The sequence below is a fragment of the Homo sapiens genome, chromosome 6 (genome assembly GCF_000001405.40).
Source record: "Homo sapiens chromosome 6, GRCh38.p14 Primary Assembly".
NCBI lineage: Eukaryota > Metazoa > Chordata > Mammalia > Primates > Hominidae > Homo > Homo sapiens.
The window spans coordinates 17,308,145-17,323,570 of NC_000006.12; the positions used below are offsets into that span (position 1 = coordinate 17,308,145).

Sequence of the window (15,426 nt, forward strand, 5' to 3'; positions counted from 1 at the left end):
ATCTCTATTAGAATAAAGTAGGAGTAACTAAAATGGTGGAAGCTGGTTTTTGGTTTTTTTTTTTTTTTTTTTTTTTTTGAGACAGAGTCTTGTTCTGTCCCCCAGGCTGGAGTGCAGTGGCACAATCTCAGCTCACTGCAAGCTCCGCCTCGTGGGTTCATGGCATTCTTCTGCCTCAGCCTCCCAAGTAGCTGGGACTACAGACACCCGCCACCACGCCCGGCTAATTTTTTTTTTTTTTTTTTGTATTTTTAGTAGAGACGGGGTTTCACTTTGTTAGGCAGGATGGTCTCGATCTCCTGACCTCGTGATCCGCCCGCCTCAGCCTCCCAAAGTACTGGGATTACAGCCGTGAGCCACTGCACCCAGCTGAAGCTGGTTTCTTAAAATTAACATTTTCACTATTTTATAGATCACTTATCTTTCTTATAATCATCCCAGAGGAATTATTTGCAATGGTAATGGTAAAATTTTAATCATTTTCATGAACTCAGGTCGAGTGAGATGCACCCAGTATATGTTTATAGATTCTTCTTTTTTCAGACATAGAAGAGATGTTAGTTAACACTGATATGGATGCAAGCATAAAAACTGTAGAAAGGCTACAGGAACATGCAAGTGCATCAGAGAGTGAGGCAAGATATTCGCTAAAGGCGGCAAAATAAAAATAGCATGCAACATGGTATAAAGAATCATAAATTTAAGCAAAGAGAAGCATTGAACTATGTAACTGTTCCAGTTACTTACTGAGGTATCATAAACCACCCCCAAACTTGGTAGTGTAAAAATAAAAACAGGCTGGGCATGGTGGTTCACGCCTGTAATCCCAGCACTTTGGGAGGCCGAGGCAGGTGGATGACTTGAGGTCAGGAGTTTGAGACCAGCCTGGCCAACGTGGCAAAATCCCGTCTCTACTGAAAATACAAAAAGTAGTGGGGCGTGGTGGCACATGCCTGTAATTCCAACTACTCAGGAGGCTAAGGCAGGAGAATCACTTGAACCCAGGAGGCTGAGGCTGCAGTGAGCTGAGATTGCTCCACTGCACTCCAGCCTGGGCGACAGAGTGAGACTCCATTTCGAAAAAAAATTAAAAATAAATAAATAAAAATAGAAACAGCAATTCTTTTCCTTTTTTTTTTTTTTTTTTTTGAGACGGAGCTTCGCTCTTGCTGCCCAGGCTGGAGTGCAATGGCGCAATCTTGGCTCACTGAAGCCTCCGCCTCCCGAATTCAAACGATTCTCCTGCCTCAGCCTCCCAAGTAGCTAGGATTACAGGTGTGCACCACTACACCCGGCTAATTTTTGTGTTTTTAGTAGAGACGGGGGTTTCACCATGTTGGCCAGGCTGGTCTCGAACTCCTGACCTCAGGTGATCTGCCCACCTTTGCCTCCCAAAGTGCTGGGATTACAAGCATGAGCCACCGCACCCAGTTCTCTTCTCTTCTCTCTGTTCTTCTCTTCTCTCTGTTCTTCTCTTCTTTCGATGGAGTCTCGCTCTGATGCCCAGGCTGGAGTGTAGTGGTGTGATCTCAGCTCACTACAACCTCCACCTCCCAGGTTCAAGTGATTCTCGTGCCTCAGCCTCCCCAGTAGCTGGGAATATAGGACTGTGCCACCAGACCCAGCTAATTTTTTGTATTTTTAGTTGAGACCATATTGGCCAGGCTGGTCTCAAACTCCTGAACTCAGGTGATCCACCCACCTCAGCCTCCCAAAAGTGCTGGGATTACAGGCATGAGCCACGGCGCCTGGCCAGAAACAGCAGTTTTCTTGTGCTTGCTGCCTGTGGATCAGAAATTCAGAAAGGGCATAGTGGGGACAGATCTTCTCTGCTCTTTAGAGTCTACTCTGCAATCAGTGGGATGATTAGAATGGCGGCCTGAACTGCTGGGGCTGGAAGATCACTTCCACAATAGTGTCTCAGCATGGTTGCCCCAGGGCTGTTAGACGACTTTTCACAGAACAGTCCAGAACTCTGAAAGCAAATGTTTCCCATCAACAAGGTGGAGGCTGCACATCCTCTCCGGGCCTGGCCTGAGAAGTTACATAGCATCACTTCCATCACATTCTGTCAATTCCAAGTGAGTCCCAACCCAAACTCAATGGCAGCGACTTTGACCCCACCTTCTGGTAAAAAGAATAAGAGGTATTTGATGTCATCTTAAAACAAAGTTTTAAGATCATCATTAACAGTTTTCCCCCCCAATATAAATTCATTTATCTTTAATGCTTTTTTTCATCCCAATGTCTAATTTATAAAATATAAATTATCTTCCTCTTTCTTTGGCTGTTGCTTATTTGTGAATAATAGGAATTGGTGTGTTAAGTTATGAGTGACAGAGCCCCTGGATGTATCTGCGCAAGAGGTTACTTCTTAGTATCAGACGTATTACAGATTTGTTTTTTTTATTTTGGTTTTTTTTTTTGAGATGGAGTCTTGCTCTGTTGCCCAGGCTGGAGTGCAGTGGTGTGATGTTGGCTCAAGGCAATCTTTGCCTCCCAAATTCAAGTGATTCTCCTGCCTCAGCCTCCCGAGTAGCTGGGATTACAGGTGCCCGCCACCATGCCCAGATAATTTTTGTGTTTTTAGTAGAGACGGGGTTTCACTATCTTGGCCAGGCTGGTCTTGAACTCCTGACCTCAGGTGATCCACCCGCCTCGGCCTCCCAAAGTGCTGGGATTACAGGCGTGAGCCACTGCGCTTGGCCTACAGATTAGCTTTAATAATAAAACAGAAATGCAAATGTGAGTAGGATATGTTAAATAGTTATGATATGTGACTCATCACCCAACTTTTTAGGAGACTGATGCTTTTTCTAAACCTAATAATCAACTTGCCAGATACTAGGATGGGAGTCCAAATTCCTAGAGTTGTGATATACACCAGAGGAAAAATAGCCAGATCTAAGGAGCACAGAGGAAATCCTAACAATACAAGGTAGGAGCCCAGGCTCAGAGGAAGCCAGCAGGCTGTATGATGAGAAGAGCATGGGACTGGGAAGCTAGAGGCTCCAAGTTCAATTCATGCTCCACCAGTATTCATCATTATGTGCTGGGGCAAGTCTATTTCTTCGTCTTAAGTTTCTTCCAAGAGTTTGGGCTAGGTAACCTCAGGAGTCCCTTCCTTCAGTTATAATAACACTACAATTTTAGTTCAAGTCCCTCCTACTACACTCCTATCAGAGGAGCTTTTAAAGTATATATGAAAAGAAGACAGGAAAAATAATTAAACAAGCATTTCTTTGGTAACCTACTTTATCTTACAATAGACCTGGTGCTTTGTGCATTTCAGTGCATTTTTGCATGTAATAAAATGCCTAAATGAAGAAAGACATGAGAAAGAGCTTGAAGAGAAGGTATTTTAATGCAGCCAGGTTACAATCAGGATTTGGGGTCCAGCGAGAGCTTCCCGGCCAACCTGAGGGACATCCAGCAATGATGTCTATCTAGAACAATGACAATAATTGCCAGTGTCCCTCCCCTCCCTTTTCAAGCTCACCTGATACCTCTGCTATTCACTCAGCCTGAGAAAAGGCACTCTGCCTTTGAGCAGCAGCTTGAACGACAGCCACCCTCACATTGCCTTGGGCGAGCACGCACGTGGGCTGCTATACGGAGACATCTGTGCCCGCTGAAGTGAGGCTGAAGAGCTGTGTTGTCTAGGGTGACAGGAGGCCTTGCCTAACAGTGAGCTCCATCAATAATCTATGGCCCTGTGGAGAAAGAACCCTATTAATAAGACATGTTGCTGTTTGGAGAAGACAGAGCCAATGAGGCCCTCGTTCCAGGGAAACAGAATATGCTCAGCATGACGCAGCACTCCCTGAACTTTCCGGTTACATCACCCAATAGCTGAGATCAGAAGCAATTTTAGAAGATACATTCAACATACTAATGCCCTTTCAGCCAGCCTAGTTCAGTAAGGTCAAAGTCTGGTCAAAAACACACTTTGACCTGAGGTTTGCTTGTTTGTTTGTCTTTAAGACTGATCAAGAGCACTGAGTTATTTTCGCACACTGGGCTTGTTATCAGGTCACTGTTTAAGTATAGAAATGTTTATCTGGGTGGTTTTAGATCCAATATGGAAGACTGAAAATCCTCCGAATTCCCAAATATATTTTCCATTCCATTTAAAGCTCACAATCTTCTAGGTCCGCCCAGTTCTTCTTTATGGCAACAGTTAATTATTAATCCTTCCTTACTTTTAGGTTGTAATTTAAGAGTGCATTAATAGATTGCTCACTCGGTATTTTGCCAAAATCATGGCAGGACAAATTCGCTAGTGTATGATGGCTAGAAGCATGAACTTGGAGGCAGACTGACCTGGGACTGGGTCTAGGCTCTACCACTTGCCAGCTGTGTGATCTCAGGAGAGTTACACACCCTCTCTGAGTCTCCATTCCTTCTCTGTCATGGGGGAAATGTCTCATAAAGTATGATAATGTAAAGCATAGAGCAAAGCAAGTAATAAGCATTCAATAAAGAGTAGGTTTTTGTTGTTGTTTTTGAGATGAAGTTTCACTCTTGTCGCCCAGGTGGGAGTGCAATGGCGCGATCCCGGCCCACTGCAACCTCTGCTCCCCAGGTTCAGGCAATTCTCCTGCCTCAGCCTCCCAAGTAGCTGGGATTACAGGCATGTGCCACCATGCCCGGCTAATTTTGTATTTTTAGTAGAGACGGCGTTTCTCCATACTGGTCAGGCTGGTCTCAAACTCCCGACCTCAGGTGATCCACCCACCTCGGCTTCCCAAAGTGCTGGGATTATAGGCGTGAGCCACTGCACCTGGCCACATTGCTTATTAAGTATCTAAGAGAAGATGCCAAGCAGGCAGTTTCATCCACCGGTGTAGAGTTTAGCAGAGATGTCAGGGTCTGAGACAAAACTGTGAGAACTGTTGTAATCATTAAAGCTATTCACCAATTTTTTTTTTTTAAGTTGGAATCTTGCTCTTATTGTCCAGGCTAGAGTGCAGTCGCAAGATGTCAGCTCACTGCAACCTCCGCCTCCAGGTTCAAGCGATTCTCCTGCCTCAGCCTCTCGTGTAGCTGGGATTACAGGTGTGTGCCACCATGCCCAGCTAATTTTTGTATTTTTAGTAGAGACAGGGTTTCGCCATGTTGGTCAAAGTGGTCTCGAACTCCTGACCTCAGGTGATCCACCCACCTCAGCCTCCCAAAGTGCTGCAATTACAGGCATAAGCCACCGCACCTGGCCCACCAATATTTTTAGTTCACTCCTTCCATTATGGTAGGACCCTCTTGTCTACCCCCTTAAAGTTAGGCACAGCCATGTGACTTGCCATAGCCAATGAAATGAAGGTGGAAGGGGCTGTCTCACTTCAGGCAGAATCCTTAAGCTTTAAGAGTATGGGCTGGTCACGGTGGCTTATGCCTGTAATCCCAGCACTTTGGGAGGCCAAGCGGGGGGTGGATCACCTGAGGTCGGGAGTTCGAGACCAGCCTGACCAACATGGAGAAACACCATCTCTACTAAAAATACAAAATTAGCCAGGTGTGGTGGTGGGCGCCTGTAATCCCAACTACTTGGGAGACTGAGGCAGGAGAATCGCTTGAACCCTGGAGGTGGAGGTTGTGGTGAGCTGAGATCATGCCATTGTACTCCAGCCTGGGCAACAAGAGTGAAACTCCGTCTCAAAAAAAAAAAAGGAGTATGATTCTCGGCCAGGCACAGTGGCTCACGCCTGTAATCCCAGCACTTTGGGAGGCCGAGGTGGGTGGATCACAAAGTCAAGAGTTTAACACCAGCCTGGCCAAGATGGTGAAACCCTTTCTCTACTAAAAATGCAAAAAATTAGCCAGTTGTGGGAGCGGGCGCCTGTAATCCCAGCTACTCAGGAGGCTGAGGCAGAAAATTGCTTGAACCAAGGAGGCCAAGGTTGCTAAGACTGCACCACGCACTCCAGCCTGGGCAACAGAACCATACTCTATCTCAAAAAAAAAAAAAAAAAAGAGTATGATTCACCATGTCCCTGAGCGACCATGATGAACAGATACCCCTGTTGATTCATGACGGACATTTTACAGTGAAAGAGAAACATCTTTGTTGTTCTAAATGACTGAGATTTGAGGGTGGTGTGTAGAAAAATCTAGCCTATTGTGTATGAGCCCTAAAGATAGGACAGTATTTAAATGCTTCGAACTGGATGAGATCCCCTTCAGCATGAGTGTTAATGACAATGAGAAGGAACTGAGTCCTTAGCATTTCAGATGTCAACACTGAAAGGTAAGGAAGAAAGGGGAATTCCAGGGAAGGAGATTGCTGTGGAACGAAATGTTTGTGTCCCTGCAAGTTCGTATGCTGACAACCTAATCCCCAATGTGATGGAATTAGGAGGTGGGCCTTTGGGAGGTGATTAGATCACAAGGGTGGACCTCTTATGAATGGGATTAGTGCCCTTATAAAAACAGGCTCCAGAGGCAGGTACGGTGACTCATGTTTGTAATCCCAGCACTTTGGGAAGCTGAGGTAGAAGGATCACTTGAAGCCAGGAGTTCGAGACCAGCCTGGGCAACATAGGGACATTTGTCTCTACAAAAAATAAAATAATTAGCCAGGCGTGGTGGCATGCACCTGTAGTCCCAGCTACTTGGGAGGCTGAAGTAGGTGGATCACTTGAGCTCAGAAGATCCAAGCTGCAGAGAGCTATGATCACGCCACCACACTCTAGCTTGGCAGACAAAGTCTCTGTTTCAAAGAGAGAGACAGAGGCTCCAGAAAGCTGCCTCACGATAGAAGGCTCTGTCTATGAGGAACTGGACACCAAGTCTGCCAATGTCTTGATCTGGGACATCCCAGCCTCCTGTGAGAAATAAACTTCTGTTGCTTCTAAGCTACAAGGCAATTCTCATGCCTCAGCCACCCGAGTAGCTGGGATTACAGGCATGCGCTACCACACCAGGCTAATTTTTGTATTTTTAGTAGAAATGGGGCTTCACCATGTTGGCCATGCATTATGGCATTTTGTTACAGAAGCCCAAACAGACTAAGACAGACACTGAGGAGTCGCTAAGGAAAAGTGAGAGGTCAAGTGAAGAAGTTGCCTCAAGAAGAAGGAAGTAGTCAACTGTGTCAAATGCTACGATAGGCTAAGAAAGATGAGAACGGGGAAATAAACACGGGATTTGGCAATATGGTGTTAGTGTGACTTTGACAAGAAAGATTTTGTGAAGGTATGGGAGCAAAAGTCAGCTTATGTTGGGCTCATGAATGAATGAGATAAAGAGAAAGGAGATGGCAAGCACAGACAAGACAGACAAAGGGAAATTTTCCATTAAGGGAAGCAGGGGGTGGAAGGGATCAAAGGAGCGCAATTTACAATAGATGATTGTAGTGTGTTTATAAAAGAAGAAGAATTAGCCAGTAGAGTGAGAATACTGATGATGCAGGAGTATAGACAACTGCAGGAGCAATGTCCTTGACAGGCAGAGGGGATGATCTAGGTTTCACCTGGAGAGGCTGGAATGTGGGCAGTCATCCAGGTAAGAAGAGAGAAGACAAACTGTAAGGGCACACATGTAGGTAGGTTGGTAGGTATGACTGGGAGGTACAAGTTCTCTTTGATTCATTCATTTATTTTTTCTTTGAAATGGAGTCTTGCTCTATTGCCCAGGCTGGAGTGCAGTGGCACACGGCTTACTGCAACCTCTGCCTCCCGCGTCCAAGCAATTCTCATGCCTCAGCCACCTGAGTAGCTGGGATTACAGGCATGCACTACCACGCCAGGCTAATTTTTGTGTTTTTAGTAGAAATGGGGTTTCACCATGTTGGCCACGCTGGTCTCGAACTCCTGACCTCAGGTGATCTGCCCACCTTTGCCTCCCAAAGTGCTAGGATTACAAGCGTGAGCCACAGGACTTGGCCAAGTTCAATGGTTTTTTGTTGTTTGTTTTTGTTTTTGTTTTGTTTTGTTTTTTTGAGACAGAGTCTCGTTCTGTCACCCAGGCTGGAGTGCAGTGGCACGATCTTGGCTCACTGCAAGCTCTGCCTCCTGGGTTCACGCCATTCTCGTGCCTCAGCCTCCCAAGTAGCTGGGACTACGGGCACCCGCCACCACGCCCAGCTAATTTTTTTGTATTTTTTAGTAGAGACGGGGTTTCACCTTGTTAGCCAGGATGGTCTCGATCTCCTGACCTTGTGATCTGCCCGCCTCGGCCTCCCAAAGTGCTGAGATTACAGGCGTGAGCCCCCGTGCCAGGACTTTTTTTTTCTTTTTTTGGAGACATATTTTCACTCTTTCGCCCAGGCTGGCGTGCAGTGGAGCAATCTCAGCTCACTACGGCCTCCACCTCCCGGGTTGCAGCGATTCTCATGCCTCAGCCTCTGAAGTATAGGCATGTGTCACCATGGCGGCTAATTTTTGTATATATATATATTTTTTAAGTAGAGATGGGGTTTCACCATGTTGGCCAGGCTGGTCTTGATCTCCTGACCTCGTGATCTGCCCGCCTTGGCCTCCCAAAGAGCTGGGATTACAGGCGTAAGCCACCACTCCCGGCCTTGTTTCAATTTTTAAATGAAATCAGTAGTCCTTAAGCGAGAGTGAGGATGGCAAAGGTAAGGAAGGTTCTGCAAGTTCTGCAAGGTTTTGCATGTTCTGGCTTCTCCCTGCCACCTCCCTGAGCTCATGTCCTACCACTCTCCCATTTATTTTCTCCACACTAGCTGTACTTTCTTCCTTGCACTTCCTTGATCATATCAAGCACACTTCTGCCTCGGGACCTTTTTGCACATGCAGTTCCCTCTGCCCAGGATAATCTTCCTTCAAATGTCCACATGGCACATTCCCTTACATCCTCTTGTTCTCATTCAAATGCCATCTTATCAAAGAAACCTCCGAGACTGGCCCATCAAAAATACTGCCCCCTCCTCACCTCTGTCACTATCTCTTTTTCTACTGTATTCTATGTCATTATATTTATCACCTATCTGAAAAGTATATTTACTTGCTTATTTATTTTCAACTGCACCCAGAATTTAAACTTCAAGAGTACCAGAAATACGTGTTTTGAAGAGGGAGAACGAGATCTAAAATAAAAGTCTTGGAGTATGGGAGCAAAAAGGGAAATGGAGCAGGAATACCAGGCAGCTCTTAAGGCCCTACCAAGGCCAGAGACTTAAAATGCTGTATCATTTTTAAATGAGCCAATATTTAGATTTATTTATTTATTTATTTATTTATTTATTTATTTTTTAATTTTTTGTTTAGACAGAGTCTCACTCTGTCGCCCAGGCTGCAGTGCAGTGGTGCAATCTCGGCTCACTGCAAGCTCTGCCTCCCGGGTTCATGCCATTCTCCTGCCTCAGCCTCCTGAGTAGCTGGGACTACAGGCGCCCACCACCACGCCCGGCTAATTTTTTGTATTTTTAGTAGAGACAGGGTTTCACCATGTTAGCCAGGATGGTCTCGATCTCCTGACCCCAGAGTGCTGGGATTACAGGCGTGAGCCACCGCGCCTGGCCCTAGAATTATTTTTTTTTACCTGGAAGAAAGAAAATCAGCTTTATAAACAAACAGGAGAGGTTTTCTTAGGAAAAAAAAAAGCTATAAGATGCCTGATGAAATGCTTTAGGTTGTCACCCAAATGGAGTTGCAGAATATGTCCCGAAAGCCCCAAAGCCTGATATCTCAGCTAACTTCTTTGCTCCCAAGATACCTTTTCACACCCATCTCATTCACCTCCTATTAGACGCTGGTGTTTTCTTTTTAAGAAATTCAAAGGAGCAGTCTGGAACAAGGAAGAGACTTTTCTACTCTCACTGCGAAAAGCTAAACAACCTTAAAAATTTTTTTAAAGCTGCCATTACTTATAGCTTTTTGGGTCTGTCTACGTAAAGCTGAGGGTTTGCTTTATCTTTTTTAGAATGGGACACTCTTTGCTTATAATATGTCTTATTATATATAAGTTTAGTTCTATCATAGTTGTAACTAGCCTAAAAGGGTAACAAGACAGAAATTGTCTCACTTGCTGAGGGAGAAAATGTATTCTCTGGAACAAAGAGTCCCTGGTCTAGTTGGGGTGACAGTCATCTAAACAATTATAATATCTTCTGTTATAATAGCAGCTTGCAAAAAGTTCCAGAGGTGTAAGGTAATGTTCCCTTCTTCCCAGGACCTATCTTGAGTTTCCTTGCCCATGAAAGATATGCTTTTGGTGATCCTGGCCAACCCCCCTCTAATAGTTTATTAAATTAAGGCCTTGCATTTCTTTGTATGGAAGATTCAGCCTAACATTACTGATCAGCCCTCAAAGGTATACAATGTGAACAGGTTCCCAAATCTCAGGGGCCTGTAACAGCTTGAATTTTGCTCATACTATAAGTCCAGCATGGCTGGCCGCCACTCTGCTTCATGTCATCTTCTTAGAGACTCAGGATAAGCCAGCACAAACTTCCTGGGATGGGGCTGGTCAGTGACAGGGGGAAAGCAATTCAGCAAAGCACAAACTGCCCTTCAACTCTTGCGTAGATGTGATCCACATCACTTCTCATATTCCACTGGCAAAAGCAATTCTCATGCCAAGCCTGACTTGAATGGACTGGGAAAGTAGACTCTTCTCCCAGGGAGGACAAACAAGCAGACATTGGTAAACAGTAATACAGCCTACCAAAGAAACTTCCCCTGCTCTCCCCAGAAAGTTCATCACTGCTTTTTTTACATTTCTATAACTTTTGCATGACTCTATGATAACAGAGGATATTATAATTGTTTACATCACTATTGTAAGGGATAATTGGAAGGACAGTCGAGAAAGGAATGAGGTCAATAGACCCAAGTTCAGGCAAGCTGATTTATTGTCAGTCCTGCCAGGCTACCTTTGACAAAAGCAGAGGAGGCAGCCCCACTTACAGGCTATAGCAGGGTTTTATAGGGTGTAGAACTGGGTCAGGGTGAAGAAAAAATTAAAAAAGTGTGGGGGGGTCCTATGTGCCAGGTGTCTGGCCGCTTCCTGGAGATGTTTTTCTTGCCAGTTCTGTTATGCAAGGTAGACGTCTTAACTGCGTCCTGAAACAGCTGGCCTCTGGTCAAACAGTTACAGGCGGATTTGGGATGGGGGTTTTACTTTTTGGCCTTTGGGGCTTAGGTCTATGGGAGGGGTAAACAGTTCATCTGGGTAGACCCTAACATTCCAGCCTTTTAATAGATGATAGAGAAGGGGCGTTGATTTCATCAGACTGCTTCAAGTTGAGAGGGGGCGGTGACTAGGGGAAAGGCTGGAAAGTAGGGGTTGGCTTTGGTTTTGAAATTGTTGATACTCCTGGAGTAACATCATGCCCTGTATGGTTCCGTGGGCAAAAGCTCAGATACAGTTCTGTAAAAACTGGGTGAGGAGGCGTATTAAGCAAGGCCCGAAGATTAGGAGAAGAAAAAGGATTATATCCGGTACAAGGAGAGGGAGTAGCCAGGGGGCCCAGGTGCTGACAGACCAAGAGGCCCAAGAGGGCCAGGTAGAGGGGCTGCTTTCCCTGATCTTTTGGGCTCGATCTTTGAGTTTTTTAGTGCATCTTGAACTAAGCCTAACTGATTAAAATAAAAGCAGCATTCTTTGTCTAGGAAAATAGAGTCCTCCTTTGTCAGCAGTCAGTAGGTCGAGACCTCTGTGATTTTGTAAGGCGACTGCCACTAGAGAGTCTAGCTGAGCTTGTAAGGTGGATATGGAAGTTGCAAGGTCATCTATACCATCTGAAAGGCCTTTTGATAAGGTTTTATGGTAATAAGAGGAAGCTGTGACTCCTGCTACTCCTGTGCCCATGGCTGCTGTGATGCCCAGGCCTATGAGTAATGGGATAAGCTGTATGGCCCGGTGCCTGTGGTGTGGGATTTGAGTATTTAGGGTTTGGAGGGGCAGGTTTTCTCCTGGAGCTATGCCCATTTTAGGGCTGAGGAAGACCAGTGTACAGGGGCCTGTCCGGTTGGTGGGAAGACAGAGGTAGATGGAGGTGCCGCATAGAAAGAATGCACCTTGTCTAGGGAGGCAGAATTGGAAATGTATGGCAAAAAGGAAGTGTAAAATGTTGTTCTCTGAGCGCCAGGCGTGGAGGGAGGAGGCTAGAGCCGCTCCGGTTAGGGGTTGAAGGGGGTGTGTTGAGTTGAGCTGGCTAGCTCCTACTGTTGAGTTTTCTAAGTGTAGAATGAAACATTCTGTATCAATAAGTAGTCTGTTTGAAGGTGTGTTAGGCAGTGGGATTTCCATGCATTCGGAAGCGGGGACGGGGTCTAGACAAGTGCTCCACCCTGCGATTTCTATGCAGGGCCTGTGTCAGTTATTGCAGAATCCTGATGTTTCTCCCGTGACTCAGGTCTGAGGGGGGTTGGAGATTTTGAGAGTTTGTGTGGGGTTTGTTACTGTTACTGTTTGGATGCCTGTCGGGGGAGTGAGTGTCAGGGTATAGTTGCATAAGCTAGAGGAGAGGGTGCCTAGGGGGACTCCTGAGGAAAGTTCACGCTTTATGCATAGGGATGCTTGTTGGCTTAGTTTTGAGTCTGAGGTAAGTGCTCCTAAGATAACCTTGTGTTGTGAAGTATGTACGCTAAGATTAAGTTTGTAAATTTTGAGTGCATTTACTCCTCCGAAACTTTGGTAGCGGGGGTGGAGGGTTATACTGGTGAGAACCCAGTCTTTGAGGGGAACTGGGAAGGCATCCTTTGATATGGTTTCTGAGGGGTGTACACAGAACCAGCAGGCCTTGGCCAGGGAGGGGTTAGTTTGAGTATCGTATGTGCCTGTTGAATGGTGCGCTGAAGGTGAAGCTGTAGTGAGGATGAGGAGGAGGAGGGAAGAAGAAGTAAATAGATAGACAGCAAGTGTAAAGGTAAAGAATTCGGCTTCATCTGGAGTGAATTCCTGTAAATCCCCTTGAAATATAAGATCAGTGATCCAGTCAAGGAATGCCGTGAGGGTGGGATGTTCTGGGTAGGACCATGAAATGTTTTCTGTGATGCAGTGAAGGAAGAGGGTGAAACAGCAGGACGGGCAAAGACAGGACATTAAGGAGGGGCAACTACTTGTTGGTGGCTGTTATACCTGCTATAAGGAGGATTATGAGGCAAAAGTTTGCAGATACTGAGATTTTTTGTTTGAAATCCCACCCAGGAAGTGAGACAGTATATAGTCCTATGGCAAAGAGTAGAGTAAGTACGCTGATTCCTGCAAGGGCAGCGTAATAGATGATTTCCATTAATAAGGGTTTGGATACTTAATGGTAGGGGGTGACAACTTATCTGTTACGGTTCATGGGGGAAGAGTGAGGTCTTCTGGGATGGGTGTTAGGCGGAATCAAGTTGGTCCGAGAAGAGTGCTGGAGTATTTGCAGGGAACAGCTGGTTGGTTAGTTGGTGGCGGGTCAGCTGCAGGGGCCCTTTTTAACCTGGAAAGATGGTATCAAGAGTTGTGTCCTGAAAGTTTGGCTGCGGTGGGGGTAGTGAGAAGGACTTGGAAAGGGCCTTGTCACTTTGGTTTGAGACTCGTTGGAGTAAGGGTTTTTAGAAAGACATATTCTCCAGGAAGGAGTGCCTGGTCGGTGGGGCCTTGGTGGGGTTTTGGGAGGGCCTAGTCAGCTTGTTTGCGGAGAATATGACACATGAGGGAGAGTGTTGGAAGGTGCTCTCCTAATTGAGAGTTAGGAGGGGGTCTGTTTTGTGAGAGGAAAGGGCATCCATACATTAACTCAAATGGACTGAGGAAGGAGGGGGCTTTTGGACTGGCTCCGATGCGAGCCAGTGCTATGGATAAAAGGGAGGTCCAAGGTTTTTTGACCTCAAGTGTGAGTTGGGTTAACTGAGTTTGAGAATTCCGTTTGCCCGCTCGATTTCTGCGGATGACTGGGGCTGGTATGGGATATGGAGGCACCACTGAACACCAAGGGATGGGGACACCTGTTGGGTAATTTGGGAGATGAAACTAGGCCCATTGTCTGATTATATGGAGAGAGGGAGACCAAATCTAGGGAAGATTTCTGATATGAGAATTTGAGAGACTTCTGCAGCTTTTTTTGAAGGGGTAGGAAATGCTTCTACCTAACCTGAAAAAGTGTCTACGGGGGTAAGAAGATATTTAGTTTTTTTTGATGGGAGGCATGTGGGTGAAGTTTACTTGCCAGTGCTCCCTGGGAGTGTTCCTCTGAGCTGGCGTGTAGGGATGAGGAGAGGGCAAAGAGCCCCTTGGGAGGAAGTAACGAGCATATACGACAGTTTGAGGTTATGTCCTTTAGTGAGGCGAATAGATTGGGGGACGAGAAACAAGGGCGAAGGAGTAGGTACTGCCGGCGTGCATCAATATGGAAGGATTGGTGAAGAGGTGTTAGAATTTCCTTGGTTTGCTCTTGGGGAAGAATGAGCTTTTGATCTTTTATTATCCAGTCCCCTTGAAGGGAGGTTCCTTGCTGTAGTAGCAAAGCCTTTTTGGTGGGAGGGTATCTGGGTGGGACTGCTGGGGTGACAAGGACGATGGGGGCAAGGAGAGGAGAAAGGGAGGCCGTTTTCCTGCCTCATCGGCCTTTTTATTTCCTCTTGAGATTTTATCTGATCCTGTTTGATGTTCTCAACAGCGTATGACTCCTGCTTCAGTTGGGAGGTGTGTGGCCTGAAAGAGTTGTTAAGTAAGGGGGCCATTAGTAATGGGGGTTCTTTTGGTGATAAGGAATCCTCTCTTGCCAGATGGTAGCATGGGAATGAAGAATGTGATAGGCATACTTGGAGTCTGTGTATGTGTTGACCCGTTTGTCTTTGGAGAGGGTTAGGGCTCTGGTGAGAGCTATGAGTTCTGCATTCTGGGAGGAGGTTCCTGGGGGTAGGGTTTAGCCTCAATTACATGGTTTAAGGTAACTACTACGTACCCAGCAATTTTGGGAGAGCCGGGGGCTCCAGAAGAGGAGCCATCTATGAATAGTGGCCATCTGGGTTAGTGAGAGGCTCGAAGGAGATGTTAGGGAAGTGTGGCTGCAGGTGATCCAGAATGTCAGTGCAAGAATGAGTAGGAGGGGAAGAGGATATGGGGAGTAGGGATGCTGGGTTGAGGGGGGTGCTTTTGGCAAGGCTGAATTTGGGATTTTCGATAAAGAGGGCATGCAGTAACTGAATTCGGGAAGGAGAGAGGGAGCTTAACGCCTGAGAGGAGAGGAGATCCTGTAAGTTGTGAGGGCTGTGGACGGTGGTGCTTTGGCCAAATGTTACTTTCCAGAGCCAAAACGGCCGCTGCTGCTAATGCTCTAAGACAGGTTGGCCACGCTCTGACAGTGTTGTTTAATTGTTTAGAGAGGTATGCCACAGGGGCAAAGGAAGGAGGATTTCCCTTTTGTTGCCCTAAGACCCTGAGAGCTATTCCTTGGTTTTCGGTGGTATAAAAAACGAAGGGTTGGAAGATGTCAGGTAAGGACAGGGCAGGTGCAGTGACGAGAGCAGTTTGGAG

General features: G+C 46.2%; 3 annotated features.

Moving 5' to 3' along the window:
* Window positions 3,166-4,365: an enhancer, noted in NCBI's record as "MED14-independent group 3 enhancer chr6:17311541-17312740 (GRCh37/hg19 assembly coordinates)". NCBI's record gives its function as "activates an origin of replication core promoter dependent on BRD2, BRD4, P300/CBP and CDK7 cofactors, and independent of MED14, by STARR-seq in HCT116 cells {active_cell/tissue: HCT116}" and the evidence as "EXISTENCE:reporter gene assay evidence [ECO:0000049][PMID:35650434]".
* Window positions 3,742-3,886: an enhancer, noted in NCBI's record as "145 bp enhancer 96/97 fragment used in the MPRA reporter construct; PK_construct_3102". NCBI's record gives its function as "activates an SV40 promoter by MPRA in HepG2 and K562 cells {active_cell/tissue: HepG2 | K562}" and the evidence as "EXISTENCE:reporter gene assay evidence [ECO:0000049][PMID:23512712]".
* Window positions 3,809-3,819: a transcriptional cis regulatory region, noted in NCBI's record as "NFE2L2 motif; enhancer activity is reduced when this motif is scrambled". NCBI's record gives its function as "necessary for full MPRA enhancer 96/97 activity {active_cell/tissue: HepG2 | K562}" and the evidence as "EXISTENCE:site-directed mutagenesis evidence [ECO:0005528][PMID:23512712]".